Source organism: Homo sapiens, chromosome Y (assembly GCF_000001405.40).
Source record: "Homo sapiens chromosome Y, GRCh38.p14 Primary Assembly".
In the NCBI taxonomy this organism is placed as follows: Eukaryota; Metazoa; Chordata; class Mammalia; order Primates; family Hominidae; genus Homo; species Homo sapiens.
Window position 1 is genome coordinate 5,054,437 of NC_000024.10, and position 17,634 is coordinate 5,072,070.

The window sequence follows — 17,634 nt, forward strand, 5'->3', positions numbered from 1 at the left end:
AACCTCCAATAGGCCCCAGTGTGTGTTGTTCCCCTGTATATGTCCATGAGTTCTCATCATTTAGCTCCCACTTATAAGTCAGAATATCCTGCAATGTTTTTAAAAACAGTCTGTAGTATTCTTCTGCCAGTTGTAATAATGTGTAATACCTAAGGGTAAGATAAGAATAGAGCGATAATTTTAATTCCAATTGTCACTGCCCCATTTTTATTTCTGCTTATGTTTGCATGACATTTATAAAATCACATAAGCATCCAAAACGTCTTAGATATGCTAGATTCACAGCATATAGAACACATATATGTGTGCATATTAGCTGGTAGTATCAATGGGGTATTTTTAATCTCACCTTCATAACAGAGTATAAAACCAAAAATTCACAAGACTGAATTTTGAGCGAGTTTTTATATTATGTAATCCCAATGCACATCATTGTACAAATGATGCTAAAAATACTATACCACAGGCAACAGTGTTTTTATGTTGTTTACTAGGATAAATAATGTCTTCACCTCTAGCATTACTCACTATCATAACTAACATATTTTATATATGATACCAACTGCTTAACATAGGAAAGTCATTGAATTCATAATATATATTTTTAAAATGTTGTGATAAAAATTAATGAGATATTTTAAGTCTACTGCTGACCTAAACTATCTTGATTGTTGCAACAGATGCATTTATTTGATTATTGATTGTAAATAGAAAGATTTCTTTTTTTCCAATTTTGTGTATTCCAACATTGGCATATGCATATTTTAAAAAATGCAGATGTGCAGCTATGCAATGGGACAGTTATTTCATATAACACATTGCTTGGCATAACCAGAGCACAATATCCATAACAAGTTATTTATATCATATGTAGTCCTCCTGTTTTTAGAACAATTACTAAAACTTGTTGATGTTATCGATTACCAATAAATATTGAGAAATTCCTTAATTGGTTACCTATATGCATTAATACATTTCTGGAATGGAATTTTAAATAACCACCTGAACACTGAGTTTTCAAAACTGCTAAATACCTTAATAGTTGCATTAACCTTCATTTAATTATAAAAGTATGACATCTGATAGGCTTTAGCTCAGTGTGATACAAATTTAATTTTGTTTATATAATATATCATCTACAAGTACTATCCAGAAGAAGCACATTAGAATGTTTAATTATACTAGAGATTAAAAGATATTTAATATATAAACTTGAGAATAAATAAAATAGAGAATAAGAATTGAGAATTATGAAAGGAAACTGAAGGTAAAATTTGCAGATTTTAAGAAAATCAAAATCCCTCATTGAATTTTGTCAGAAGAGTTCAAGAACTGAAATAATTTTAAAGCTTTCAGTGAGTGAAAAATAATAGGGAGAAGTAGCAAGAGAGATTGATTTTTGACTCACTTTCAACTCGGTACTGTTTTTAAATGCCTTTCTTATTTTCAAGCCCTTCTCAAGCTGTTCCTTGAAGTTGTATAATTCCTGTTAGTCTATAGATGTGAAAACCCATTTTTATATGAACTACCTTCTGCGTTCTATAAACATAAATTCTCAGGGTTGGGATGTCTTCTAGTCTAACTCTCCCATTGAATGTTTGGACGTCATCTACCAAATCCGTGTATCTAAAGCAAATATAGTAGATCTAATCTGGTGGTCCAGTACCTCCAAAGATATGGAATACACTCCTGAAATATCCTGAAACCTTTTTTTTTTCAGAATCCTTTAATAAGCAGTTATGTCAATCTGAAAGTTGCTTACTTGTACTTTATATTAATAGCTATTCTTGTTTTTCTTATCCAAAGAAAAATCCTCTAATCCCCTTTTCACATGATAGTTGTTACCATGTTTAGGCGTTAGTCACATCAACCCCTCTCCTCTCCCAAACTTCTCTTCTTCAAATCAAACTTTATTAGTCCCTCCTTTATAATGATTCCTTGCCTCCTTTTATCCAGATCAATTTTTTTTCACTTTGATGCCCAGAGCTGAAGAAATGGACTATTGTATAAATTATTCATTGCCAAGAGAATAATTGCATTTTAAACCCATGTTATAACAAAGAATAATGATTATATTTTGTGATTTGTAACAAATACCCTTTATTTTCCCTTAACTATTGAATTAAATATTTTAATTATTTGTATTCTCTTTAACTATCTTGGTATATTAAAGTATTATCTTTTATATATTTATCAATGGTGGACACTTTTATAGGTACTCTGTGTCATTTTTGATACTGTAGGTATCTTATTTCATTTATCTTTATTCTTAATGTACGAATTCATAATATTTGATTCAGAACAGATTTATCACTAATTAACAGAGTGTCAATTATGCTAACATCTCATTTACTGATTTTAATTTAAAACAGTTTTTGTTAACATGCATGTTTAGGGTTGGCTTCTTAATAATTTCTTCTTCCTCTTCTCTCTCTCCTCTTCTTTTGGTCAGTGTTGTGCGGGTTAATACAACAAACTGTCACAAGTGTTTGTTGTCCGGGACGTACATTTTCGCGGTCCTGCTAGTATGCGTGGTGTTCCACTCTGGCGCCCAGGAGAAAAACTACACCATCCGAGAAGAAATTCCAGAAAACGTCCTGATAGGCAACTTGTTGAAAGACCTTAACTTGTCGCTGATTCCAAACAAGTCCTTGACAACTACTATGCAGTTCAAGCTAGTGTACAAGACCGGAGATGTGCCACTGATTCGAATTGAAGAGGATACTGGTGAGATCTTCACTACCGGCGCTCGCATTGATCGTGAGAAATTATGTGCTGGTATCCCAAGGGATGAGCATTGCTTTTATGAAGTGGAGGTTGCCATTTTGCCGGATGAAATATTTAGACTGGTTAAGATACGTTTTCTGATAGAAGATATAAATGATAATGCACCATTGTTCCCAGCAACAGTTATCAACATATCAATTCCAGAGAACTCGGCTATAAACTCTAAATATACTCTCCCAGCGGCTGTTGATCCTGACGTAGGCATAAACGGAGTTCAAAACTACGAACTAATTAAGGTGCGTTTTAAAATCACTTTGTTAAAGATATCATCTCATTTTTTAAAGAGTAAAATAAAATGATATTAATGTATTTCAAATTTTGAGTAAGCCATCACCCCAATTTTTCAAAATTTATGTAATTTAAAGCATAGTGGAGAAAATTCATCAATGCAGTTTTTGCAATTACATGTGGATTATGAATTTTCATGGTATGTATATTCATTTTCAAACAGTTGTGTTTCCATTAATCTATAAAGGGATCAGACAAGGAGGTTAGCCCTGCTACTTACAAATCAGTAGTTTGCCCAGCTTCATTCTTTTAATCTGTCCAGTCATGCTTCTGCCAAAAACTTGATATAAGCAAATCATTAAGAATGAATCCATAAATCTGATTATCAATTTTTCCTAGTGATTACTTTAGATACACAAATTTTATCTTGCCATTTGATATGGTGCCAAATAAATCTATTTGAGAGGTGACTAGAACAATTTAATTTATTACTAGCATTTCTGAACATATATAGATAAATATTTTTCATGAGGATTTCAAGGTAAGGCAAGGTCTTTAGCATATCCTGAATCATCAAATTGAGATTAAATTTTAGTCAATGTTCTGTTAATGTTAAATATTTTCTTTTTTTACAATTATTTGAAAACAGAGTGTTCATTTGTTGTAAAGGGTAAGTAAGCCTTTTAACAAAAAAGAGTCAATCAGTTAATTTGAATAACCTATTCTGGCTTGATTTGGGTCTTAGGATGGAGAAGTTAGAGAGAAGAATAGATAGAATATTTGGTATTCTTCAAAATATGTGCAGAGGGGGCACATTTATCAAGTTAATGATCAATTCTTTTAAATTACTTATATGTTATAAAGAGAAATAGATAACTCAGATTTGGGTATGTGAAATAGTACAATGCACTTGAATGATCTTGGAAAATATATGTTAATGAAATAACTAATGTGCATGTTTCAGATAGATATGTTCAGGGGATTTTCACACTTTTATAAATATTCTGCCAAACTATGATCTATATAATAACTAGTGTTAAAAATATGCCCCAAAACATATAAATAAGACATTCTGATATATATCATCTGAAGGTTTTGACCTGGAGGATATATAATATGGGAAAATTTCTCAACTAATGCTGATCTATTGTAAAGATATATTTATTTATAAATTCATTCAGGAATGGAAGGCTACAAACCTCTTGAGCAAATTTCGGTGAAATGCAGATATGTTTGAGTATATGAAGTGAAAACAGAAAGAGAAGGATTTGGAAAACAGGGAACTCTTGAATACTGTTGGTGGGAATGTAAATTAGTACAACCACTAAGGAGAACAGTTTTGAGGTTCCTCAAAAAAACTAACATTTAGATGATTTTTAAGTGAGCACTTTGGGGTGAAGTTCCTGCAATGACATCTCCTTATCTGATGAAATGGAAAAATATTCAGGAGTCAGATAGATATGGATCACAGTTTTATGCTTACCTCTTACCAGACATGCTACTTTCAGCTTAATCTTTTTGACCTTTAATTTCTTCAGTCATAATATGAGGATGATAATATCACAGGGGCAGAATTGGGAAGAATAAGCACTTAGTATGGAGTAGACATACCTGCATAGAAGATTTTTGAACATGCTTTAAAACATTTAAGTACTTATAGAAATGTGAGGCTTATCACTTGACATAATAAATTGAGTAACAGAGTGGACAGTCTCTCTCTAAAGCAACACTTCACAACAGAATTTTCTGCAAGGACGGTAATCTGTGTGAGAACAATGCAGTAGCCACCAGTCACACGTTGCTGTAGAGTCCTTGAAAGTACTTAGTAGCTAGTGCTACTAAGGAACTAAATTCTTAATTAATTCCATTTTAATTTTAATAGCCACGTGGTTAGTGGCTATCATACTGCACAGCACAGCCTAAACAAATAAAAAACGTTTATTTGGACAATAAAAATTAATAGATAAAATCAAAATGAGACCTTACCAAGTTTAAATCAGATATTAGCAATAGGGTCTCTTCAACTGACCATCTTGACAAATGTGTTGTTTTAAAACGTAGTGCTTTATTCAAAGAATAATTTTGTCATGTCTCCCTTAGGGCAGCTTAATGAACTTCCAAGAAATTTCTGATTTGTCTTGAAAGCTGCTTAACTAATTCAGATAAAACAAATAAGCCTGCTGGCATAATTTTAGCTTTGTTAAAATGTGCTTTCATTTGACATTCTTTGAAAGATTGTCAGCAAATGACAAAAAGTCTCACTACAGGTTCTTAGATGAGTCTTAGAAATGCTCTAAAATTTCTTTCTGTTTTAGAATGTGTGATAAGCCTAAAGTAACTATATGATGTGCCTAAAGTACTGAGGCATTTGTATGGCCCCGTGGACAAATACTGTTTTGACTGCTTGTTAAAAATAATGAGAATGGAACACAAAGCATAGCCCCAGGCATGCAGACAGCCATGACATGGGCGACTTTAACTGAATGCACTTTGACTCGCAAAAAGTCCCTGTCATGAAAGTGGCATATATGCTATGGGAAAGGAGACTTAAAGAAAAACAGAGAAAAGAAGCATGTGTTGATTCATCCATAAACTTTAGTAAATTTTACAATGTGAAATAAGTAGGCCAACCATAATAATTTCTTTTAAAAATCCCTTTGTCCTGCAGAATAGGATGAGAATTTAATTAATATTAATTGGCTCTACTTTTGTTGAATAGACAAGAATAGAAAAATCACCGTTTATCCTAACTAGGCTAATATAAAATGTATATGAATAGTTCAAATAGCAAAGGGAGAGAAGGGAGAAATATAGAGAAAAATTCTAGGAAAAAAGCTCAATTTAAATATTTAAATAGGTCAATTTATACATGAAGGTGTCCTATTTACTATTTGATATTAATTAACTGAAATTAAAGGCATTGGTGGAAAATATTAAATGTTTAAAATGTATGTAGTATAAAATTTCATAAGACTTAAAACTTAGAATATTTATTTCTAAAACTAATATATACATATATTAATTTAGCTTACCTTTTGATGACTTTCAGTATACCTTGGCACAAACAGGGAAAGTATTATTTCACATTTTAAATATTTGGAAAATGAGTTTCAGAGTGATAATGTATTATGCTTATCATCATATGACTGGTAAATGATAGAGGTAGGAACCAGAGTGCAGTTCCTGACTCCTAATCAACAGACAGATTGTAGATGGATAGATAACCTTCAGAGCAGGATCACTGCAAGTTCATGATACAAAACGAAAAGAGTGAAAGAAAGAAAAAAGACTGGGCGCAGTAGCTCACACCTGTAATCCCAGCACTTTGGGAGGCTGAGGCGGGTGGATTACTTGAGGTTAGGAGTTTGAGACCAGCCTGGCCAACACAGTGAAACCCCGTCTCTACTAAAAAAATACAAAAAAAAAAAAATTAGCCAAGCATGGTGGCGGGAGGCTGAGGCAGGAGAATCACTTGAATTCGGGAGACAGAGGTTGCAGTGAGCCGAGATTGCGCCATTGCAATCCAGCCCGGGTAACAGTGAAAGACTCTGTCTCCAAAAAAAATAAATAAATAAAATTTAAAAAAATTAAAAAGGGAAAAAGTGGGGGAATGAAGTGATTACCAAGTAATTCTGCTTGTTTAAAATATAAGTAAAAATAAAACTTATTTATGTGACTTTGATGCGATTAATTTTCAACTTTTTAATGGATCATGTTACTCTTTAAAGAAAAAAAATCATCTATAAGAGTTCTTGATGTTATTAATAGTTGCCACTTAAAAAAGAATCCAGATTTGAAAGCTTCTCTTTTCTCTCTTTCAAGTAAAATCATACTGCAATGCTAATTCCCTATATACATTATAGCTATTTACATACTCACACACATCGTACTACACATTGCAGTATTTGGAAGAACTGTTGTTCAGGAGTAGGAAATCACAGATCTCTTTAACTTTCACTTTTTAATTCAGATGGCCTGTTATTTATAAAGCTTTTTAAAATATTGTAAGTATTTTTTGACAGGGAAGCCAACATTTTCACAAATAGAAACATCCCTCAAGCACCCAGTCTGACTCAGAATATGTATATAAACCACAGGGACTTCCTTCTTTTCTCATGGTAGGAACTCAGGGGAAATTAGTTTATATAATGATGTTACGGTTATTTTTATTTTCTGCTTCAAATTTCCATCTTCCGTGGCATATATCAACAGTCACATTTCTGTACTAGCCCAGTGACAGTGTGCTGATTGATTTCCTTAAGGCAGGCATGACAGTGTTTCAAAGGTTGACAATTTTTGTTGACAGAACATGAAGATCAACTTTTTCTCAGATTAGTGATCCTACTCAAGGCCTTCCCTTGTTTCTACCCATCCCATAAGGCATCCTCATCTGTTCCATGAATCTCAAAAGATCATTTAAACTGGGGTAGTCTTTTAACATAGTCAAGATGTTTGGGCCCTTGTTTTTATTTTAAGTAAACATCTTCCCCATTGATCAAAAGCTGGACTGGATTTATGAAACTAAGGTTAGAATTAGATTTGTTTTGCGATCTGGGGTTAGAAAATCTAAATTGTGAAAAATCTCACCTACCACAAGATTTAGAAATCTTGATTTAAAATTGCCAAGAATGAGACATCAAATAATACATTGTGAAGACAAAGAGCAAGCAAACTTTGTTGTTCTGAAGAAATTAATATTTTTTAACATTATGTAACCATAACTCAAAGTGATGTGTAACATTAGAAGTGAGTAAAGATTCATTGATGTCAGTGCAGAGAGAATATACTATAACAATGAGTATAACAATTTTAGAAAACTTACTTAGTTTATTTGCCTCCAAGAGGCTCAGAAGAGTTTGAATATAATGATTTCCTCATTTTTTCAAATATAAAATGAAGTTTCACTTAAAATTTCTCCATTTCAGCTTTAAGTTTACTTGATTTTATAGTCTCTGAATTCTATAATTTGCATATTAATATTTTTGATCTAATGTTAAAAAGCAAAAGAGATGACAATCAAATGCTAACGACTATGAGGTTTCTGAAAGCTGGGGTTATTATCAAAGTACACTTCCACTGGGGAAAAAATGACAACATAAAACTCACTGTCTTCATAAATGAATCTTTATTAATGCTGTCAGGTCTTAACAAATGAGAGTGTGACACTAATAGGATTAAGTAACTTTTGACTTCATTACTATTATCAGAGTCTTGGTTAGTGTTCATCGTCCACTAATGCCTTTTGTTAAATATATCTGTTATTAAAAATCCCACAGTATGGATGGACACTTATGGAACATAAGTTGGACATCGTAAATAGTTCAATTCTGGAGTTTATAAATTGAGGCTCTGAAGAACAAATGTGTTCCCAAATCTGAATGATCTACTCACATCATGCCTCTTAACTTAATATTACCAACTAACTATAAGAAGCACCACTAAATTTTATGTTATTAGATACAGATTTATTGATCTGTTATTTCATTGTCCACTGTATCTAAGTAAAAATAAATTTGAACTTAATATTATTCTTGCCAAAGGAAATGACTTAAATCCTAAAATAAAAACATATTTTTATAAGACAAAATTAATTGGTATAGAATTATTTAATGAAAACATGAGGTTGTATTACACAGATCTAATTGTCTTTAACAACTTTGATCAATGCTAATAATCTAAGATTATAAATATCCCAATGTGGGTAGTTTTCTTGGCATAAATTATTCTTTTTGTCTACACTGATTTATATTGATTATATAACAACACTGCTGTGGAGACACTCTCTTAGTGAACTGAAGTGTGATCTTTCAATCTTAGATAAAATAAATTGATGGATTGGTAAGATTTCTGTATCAGAGGTGATGACACCTTGTATGAGAAGTGATGATAAAAGCAATAAGGTCATTCTGCAGAAAACTTTCTGAGTTTGTTTGAGTTTTATCTATAAAATAATGTATCTATCTTCATGATTTTACCAGGGTATGAGTTTGGACCAGTTTTTGATGGAATTGGTCTTTAGCAAAAACTATAAAGTGCAGATGAAAACTAATTCTCACTTAAAAATCAAATACTGAAGAAATTAATATTCTCCCTTTTGTATTTATCAGTGTACAGTCATCTTCACAAAACTAATCAAGAATGAATAAATAATCTAGTAGCCTAATAGACCAAATAAATTGCTTTGACCACAAATTAAATTTTAGCCGATTGTTATTCAAGTGTCTTTCAATTTCCCAGTGCAGGTAGATGTCACTGGAGGAAGGAAAATATTGAGTCTAAGTTAATTAAATAACGCAGAACTTAATTTTCTTAATTATTTTTGAAATGTCCTTTTTTCATTGGTCTTTTGCTTGCACAAATTATATCTTCACCAATCTATTCTACAAATAGGTAATAAAGTGTTTTATCCATAAAATGTTAAATATCTATTACTAGAGCACTAAGGGCATCAAAATAGAATACATGTGGACACACACGTTTTAGCAATTAAAACTATAAAAATATCGCTAGTTATCTATTTTGTATTTCCTTTGAAATAGAAGAGGTACTTCTAGGTGAACAATCATAAGAAACCTATTGCTTATTATTTATACATTGGAAGAGTATTTAGTGGTAGCATGTTTTAATTGCTGCATGCACATATCTCTATACTTGCTGGTAAACTGAGGAAAGTAGTATAACGTCATATATAGGAAACATATTTTAAAAGACATATTTTGCAAAGTAAGTGTGAATTTTGTTTCATTAAGCAAAACAAAGGATTTTAAAAGTTGAAAATCATAAAATGAAGTTTTGGATTTTCTAACCTAATTTACATTTGTCTTTGCGATCTCACTTAATCTGGAATTTTATTTTATGTAGAGTATTATCATGAATATTTCTCATCCTTTTACTTATTTTATATATAGAATTTCATTATTTTAAGCTTCTTCAATACAATGAAGTGAAATTCTAAAGAATGAAAGGCTGTTCTATTAAATTTTGTCTAGATGTAACAATAACTGACTGCTAACTAATATCTTAGTCTAATTCCAGTAATCTAAATTTAACACATATTTAATGAGTGCTCAATGTACAAAGTCTTGAGGGATAAAAAATGTGTTTGGAAAACAGTCAGTGTCCCCAAGGAGATTAATAACAGGCATTATCAGGATTATATTTTTGCTCTAATGATAGTAAAGAGGAAAGTATTTATTTTATATATACATACATACTTGTGTGTGTGTGTGTGTGTGTGTGTGTGTGTGTGTATCTTTTTTCTTTCTTTTTCTTTGTGAGACACAGCCTTGCTCTGTCGCCCAGGCTAGAGTGCAGTGGCACGATCTCGGCTTACTGCAACCTCCACCTCCTGAGTTCAATTGATTCTCCTACCTTAGCCTCCCGAGTAGCTGGGACTACAGACGTCTGCCACAAAGCTTGGCTAATTTTGTTGTTGTTATTGTATTTTTAGTAGAGACAGGGTTTCACCATTTTGGCCAGGGTCTCAAACTCCTCACCTCCAGTGATCCTCCCGCCTCAGCCTCCCGAAATGTCATGGTTACAGGCATGAGCCATCACACTTGGCCATATTTATTATGTTGTAAGAACATTTTATCTTAAATTGATCATGCTGCCATTAAGAAAATGGAATTATTTAAAGTTTTATTGTCTCAGAAAAGTTAAAATTTTATATCTATTTTTAGTAGATTTTTACCAAGCACTCTCATTAACTTATGATATCTTATTTTGTTACTAGGTTTGCAATTATGGCAGTAATACTTTTTGCCAACATTTATCTGTACAATCATTTTGAGACTGGAAATAAAACGTTTTGATGACAATGGTAATTCTTGTGCTAGTTGTGGTAATTACCTAAGTCTTTCTATTATCTTAATTCTCAAACTTGTTATCTGTGCCTACAATTCCTCTCCTATATAATAGAGAAAATTAAAATTATCCTTATGTAGCATGCAGGGATATTATAAAAGCTAATGATATAAGTAAAATCTATAAAGTTTGCTGAGTACCCTGAAGAAAACTGTTCTGTAAACAATAGTTATGGGTTTTACTCTGTAGGTTGAGGTTAATTATAGTCTTTCACAATTTTTCTAAGACTTGATGCTTCATACTCCTTAAAAAGCCTATTTTACGACTTAAACTTAGTTTTCCATACATGTTTTATGTATGTATACAGAGAAAAATATGACAACATTAATCTATTTCTTGATCAGTGCCACTGGCTCTACATTTTTTTCTGGACCTAGTTCAGTTTTTGTTTTGTTTTGTTTTGTTTTAAGTCTTCCACTTACCCTCTTTGGCTTATCTTTTGAATCAAATGTCTCCTCTTCATTTGCCTTTGTCTCCTCGTGGCCCTCCATATGACAGTGATACTGCTAATATGAGTACTTTCTCATATACTGCCTCTACCATCTGGAATTGCTTTATTTACATCTCATTCATATGACCTTATTTTTTTAAAAAAGATTTCCTCTCTTCTTTTCTTTTTTCAAGCTGAGAACTTATTTTCCTATCCCCTTTCTAAGACAATCACGACTGTTTTTTTTTTCCAGTAGATTTTGTAGAAGAGGTGTGTAATAACGTACTTGAACTTTTTTATTTTTAATTATTCTAAATTAAATAGGTCTTAAAATATCCTTTTTCAAGCAGAAGATTTGCTATAACAAGCCTTTCCTGGATGCTAGTATGTTTTTCTGGCTTATAAGAGAGCCAAGATATCCTCTGAGGACAAGAGTTGTTTAGAAGAATTCATTTAAAATAGTTTGACCAGGGAAATATAGCAGAATAAACAGCCTGCATCCTAAGGACAGTGGAACAAGGGGAGCATTGCTGTCAGTAATGCAAATAACAAAGTAAATGGTTAACAGAAGAACGAAGTTGTGTTCTAGATAATCATACACTGCCTCTACGGTCTGGATGCATGAATTCTAGAGAAACAATTTAATGGACTATAAATAAATTAAGAAGTTTAATACTTTATAGATTACTTTTAGTTGAACAGAGTGCTTTATTTAAGTCACTGAATGATTATATGCATGAATTTTAGATTGCATATAGATATCAAAAAGCCAAAGAATATGATCATGCTTAGCTACAAGCTAATGCATATTCAATTAACTCCCATTAAACTACCTTCAATAAATAAGTAAATATAAAATGAAGGCTACTTACATTGTTTGAATACACAATATAATAAGATTCTGATGCTGATTATTTGATTTTGTGTTTAGTGGTTTCATACTGCTTTTGCTTGGAGGATGTAAGTATTTAACAGATCCTGTGTGTTTCAGGAGGCATTTAAATCTTTTAATTTTGCTGTGAGGAAAGTTATTCCTAAGGGATCAGTCACAGATAGCTATATTACCCCCATCAAATGCATCATTTTCCTAGATTCCAAACCCTATGTAGAAATCTCCAAGTTGAAGAAGTAACAATGACCATGCTATCAATGTTTAATCCTTTGGAAACCATAGTAATGGTATAGGAATGCACCTTTTTAACTAGAAGTACTCATGGGCCTGGAAAAGTGAAGATGACCTCATGGGGGAATGGATATATGGCCCTAAACTGGAAAATCATTGGCTGGCTTCTGTATAGGCTATTTATAGCCCATTTATTCATCTGCAGCTTTTAAGATTCTAAACATTTCTCTATAATCTATTTTCCCTATAGTTTGAGGTTAATTATACTCTGTTTATCTATATGTTTAAGATCAATTACCTAACTGCTAAAATGAAAGCATTTTCATATAGCTAGAGCTCTCACACAGAAAACTAGTTTACGTGTAAGGTAACCAGTTTAATAAAACTGATAATCTCTTTAGCTCTTAGAAATTGGATTTTAATTATTTATCTAATAGACAAGACTTCTTAAGCTATATTTTCTACTCAAATATACTAATGGAAATGTAAGTAATTTAAAATTTTTCTCCAACTGTTTTGTGGATGTTTTGTAAACTGTAATCTCATTGTAACTATGTCTGGTGTTCTACAATCTAGACTATAAAGGTGTGAAGCAAAAAAAAAGATTTCTTTCTGAAATAATGTTTTGCATTACTATTTTACACCACAAAATAGTGACTGGCCTTATTTAGGTATTGATTAATGTAAAAAATGGCATTTTACCCAATAACCTTCCTGTTATTACCAGGCAACTATGAAATTTAGTGACACAATTATTTTTGTTTCTTTTTTTCATCTTAAGGAACAAGTTCTTAATTAGATTCGATACAGCTATAAGTAAACATAAACTATGTTCTTATGTAACCTCAAGAGTTATTTTAGGCCGGGCGCGGTGGCTCATGCCTGTAATCACAGCACTTTCGGAGGCCGAGGCGGGCGGATCACGAGGTCAGGAGATTGAGACCATCCTGGCTAACCTGGTGAAACCACGTCTCTACTAAAAATACAAAAAAATTAGCCGGGCGTGGTCGCGGGCGCCTGTAGTCCCGGCTACTCCGGAGGCTGAGACAGGAGAATGGCGTGAACCCGGGAGGCGGAGCTTGAAGTGAGCCCAGATCGCGCCACTGCACTCCAGCCTGGGCGACAGAGTAAGACTCCATCTCAAAAAAAAAAAAAAAAAAAAAAAAAAGTTATTTTAAAGTGTCTCCATGCCTTGTTACACAGTTCATTGACAATTGTTTAATCTGTTGCTGCTAAGTTTCCTTAAATTTGTGATTATTTCAATGAGTTAGTGATAGTTTATTCACCCATATTTGTGGTGCATTGCCACAAGGAATTATTGACACTTCTTTTTACTGACAACAGCTTTTTTGTTTTGTGTTTACAGTGTGATGTTGAGAGTTTTGTTGTTTCCTCACAAATAACTGACTGCATAACTCTATGCTTTCCTACATGGTTAGCAATTGCTATTTCATGAAAAATTGGATTTGCTTTCCTAGTTGCAGTTATCAGTCGGTGCTTCTTAAAAAGATAGCTGTTTATTTTGATGACTGCTTAGGCAATATTTATTATTAAGTATTGCTTTCTCAAATGATTTTTCACAGAGGCAGTGGACAAATGGTTTGACCTGTACAGTGTACAGTGTACAAAGATTCATTTTGTAGCTTAAAGAATGAATTATCTTTGTGTCCTCTGTGTGTGTGTGTGTGTGTGTGTGTGTGTGTGTGTGTATTATAGAGACAGGGTCTCACAGTGTTACCCAGGCTGGAGTGTAGTGGCTTTGCACAGGCACAACCATGGCATGCTACAGCCTTGAACTCCTGGGCTCAATCAATTCCCCTGCCTCAGCCTCCTTAGAAGCTGAGACTACAGGCTAGCACTACCAGGCCCAGCGTTTTTTGTACATTTTTTAATCTGTATTTTATCCTCATATGAATTTTTGTTATCTATTTGCCTTGTATAATATTAGGATGGGTATATCATTTATCCTCCAAATTAAGATTAAACAGGGACATTAAATTAAATTAAACAGGGACAACCAGAATATATAGTCACAATATTTAAAACCCCAAATTTCTACAGTAATTCCTTCTTTTCCATTTTACATCCTTCTTCTCAAGGTCTGGTCTACCTTGAGCCAGAGAGCTGCCATCTTCTGCAAAACATCAATGGGGTCAACTATTATTTGCACAAACTTGAACTTCACTCTGTTTTAATTTAGCAGAGCGACTCTCAGGCTGACTTGGTTCTGTTGGCAAAAGACTAGCTTCTGAAGAATTGTCTAACAGCAGAAACGCTGTCATCAAGCTTGTACATAGGGTGAATTTTTTTCTGAGCTGGCATTGTTCATCTAATGTAGTGTTTTCTAAAGCTAAATTTTACACACACACAAAAAAAACAGACATGGAAAACGGGCATAATTGCATTTAGAATTATGTTACTTTTGGACATAAGATTTCTATTTCCTTTGATACTATTCAAATAGATGAAGACTATGTCGTTTGCTTCTATGCACTGATCCACAAAATGTAGGAGGTATTAAATGTCTTGCCAAGTTACTAAACAAGTAAAGTTTTCAGAAGCTCAATGTGTGACCGAGTTTCTCCTTTTCTACACATATTTCCCTAAATAGCCATTTGTCTACAGGCCATTTGAGTATAGCCTGAAGACAGGATGAGATACAGAACCACTTAAGCAGCTTTCCAAAATGAGGTTTTAGATTGTAGAGCCAAAGCTCTGAGTGGTTTTTGTAAGAGAGGAATTTTTTTTTTGTTTTTTTTTTTTCTTGAGACAGAGTCTCGCTGTTGCCCAGGCTGAAGTGCAATGACGCGATCTCGGCTCACTGCAGACTCCGCCCCATGGGGGTTCACTCTATTCTCCTGCCTCAGCCTCCCGAGTAGCTGGGACTACAGGCACATTCTTTATGACTTTATCTCCATGGACATATTCTTCATAAATATTTAGAACAGCTTATACTGTCTTCTATTATACTGGCTTGAAGATAATTGATACCATTGATGCAGGATCAAGTGTTGTCTCTTTGTTCATCTACATTACAAAACATGGTGTCACCAATAATCTAATTGTTTTTGTTATACTTTCCTATGTTACTGGTTTGAAGATAATCGATACCATTGATTTGGGATCAAATTTGTATTTTGCTGTTTTTCTCCATTCATCAACAGTACAAAATGTGCTGTCACCCATAATAGTTTATTTTTGCATCGTATGTTTTGGATTTCTACATTCATTTGCCTGAATTTTTCACTCAGGGTTTTGGATATTATATATTTCATATGCAGCATGTATCATTTGTTGGTGACTTAAATGCCTGTATCCTATTATAACAGAACTAATCACTTTTCTAAAGATAAGTATAAGTTTGGTCCACAAAAAAATTTCTATGTGCATTGACTCATTGAACCTGCTACGATGAAGACTTCTACTTTACAATTCAACTATGCATATCAGGATTACTGATTTCTTTATATGACATTACTTATGAAAAGAAGTAATTTTATGAATTACTAAACACTTTCCAAGTATGTTTATTTTGAAACTTGCCTTTAATTAATAGAGATAGCTTGAATATTTAGCATAGTCCCTAATAAAAATAATTGAATTAAATTTAAGTATCTAGTCAATAGAATTAATAGCAATTGCTATAAACCTAAATAATTATGGTGATAATAAAAATCAAGTTAAATACAAGATGTGGTATAGGGGTTCAGTTAGCTTAATAATCTAATGTTTTACTAGTCCACATTCAATTTTAGAGTAATGATGTTGAAAATGCAAATTACTTATTATTAGGTTCCTTAACTTTACTATTTATTTGCTTTTTAGTTTTTTTAAAGTTTTATTTTAGGTTTAGGAGTACATGTGCAGGTTTGTTATATAGGTAAACTCCTGTCTTGGGGGTTTATTGTACAGATTAATTCATCACCCAGGTACTAAGACAGGTAAGTACCCAATAGTTATTTTTTTCTGCTCCTCTCTCTCCTCTCACCCTCCACCCTAAAGTAGGCCCAATATCTGTTGTTCCCTTCTTTGTGTCCATGAGTTATCTTTATATTAATTATTTTTATTTCACTACTTGGCAGTTTGCCAAATCAGAAACTTGATTTTGATAAGAGAAAAATGTCTATTTCAGAAGTTAAAAATCCGTATTTACCAAATGTTTACCAGTCTACTATCATTGATAGGGTTCACTATATTTCAATACATATATCCCAGTGTTGTCAAATTTTTGAGATATTGTGATTTTATTAGTGTTTGATAATGAAAACATAACTTCAAAGTCTATTACCTGAGCATTGCTTTAATATCCAGGATTCTTTGTACATGCCATTATGTTCCTGAAAGTACATTTAGCATAATATGTATAGCTAATTTATTTGAAAACATAGCCAATTCTTCATTATTCAGAAGTTAATAATCAAATTTCATGAATCATATCCCTCCCCACTACATCCTACTACATTTCATTTTCCTTCAAAATACTTTAAAAATACTTCCTAGAAATTATCTACTTTAGCAAATGCATTTCAAGATTCTCAGAAAATATTTTTTAATAGTCCAGAATTATTCATAGGATTAGATAAGCTCAAATCTCCATTAGATGTTCTTTTCTGTTATTAGTAAACTCCCCTCTTTAGTTTAGATCAGTGTTGTAGCACCCTTATTCTTGGTTTCTATTACATTTACAGTATCTTACAAGGAGCAGCATCTGTTACTGTTCTAAGAGATTAAGTCAAACCAAATAGGTGTGTCTATTTAGAATAATAGGGATTTTTAAGAGAATTATAATTGGATCTTGTAGGTGTCACAAACCTCAGTGTAATAGGCATCATTGATAAGAGATTCCTCTTTTAACTGTTTATTTTGGCATTGCTACATTCGTTTTGAAGATTTTCTTGGTAGCCTTGCATACATGTCTTTAAACCATTTTTCTTACAATTAGATGCTGTGATAACATACAGAGGCTGTGGATACCTACAATTTTAACTTCTGCTTTGACTCCCAGAAGGAAAGTATAAATATTATACTGGCTCTGATATATTACAACTTTACATTAATTTTTAGACAAGATAAAAAGTATTTTTAACATATTTTCTACCATATTGCTCAATTATCATCCTTTTATCATAGTAACTTATCAATGTTACAAAACGTTTTTGTGGGCATTATAGTTTGGAACTCAATTTTGAGAACATTGTTT

The 17,634-nt window shown here is 32.6% G+C and overlaps 1 protein-coding gene across 8 annotated transcripts in view; it reads left to right on the forward strand.

Annotated features, from left to right (window-relative positions):
* The window catches only part of PCDH11Y (protocadherin 11 Y-linked), a 741,933-nt gene that overhangs the window by 54,141 nt on the left and 670,158 nt on the right, over positions 1-17,634 (forward strand). For 6 of the 8 annotated variants that reach the window (XM_017030079.2, XM_017030081.2, XM_017030080.2 and 3 more), the window contains one exon: positions 2,453-3,023. In XM_017030079.2, the coding sequence (XP_016885568.1) occupies positions 2,453-3,023 (571 nt within the window). Of the gene's footprint in view, positions 1-1,651; positions 3,024-17,634 lie in introns of those variants that run through there. The other 2 variants (NM_032972.3, NM_032973.2) reach the window with 2 other exon arrangements.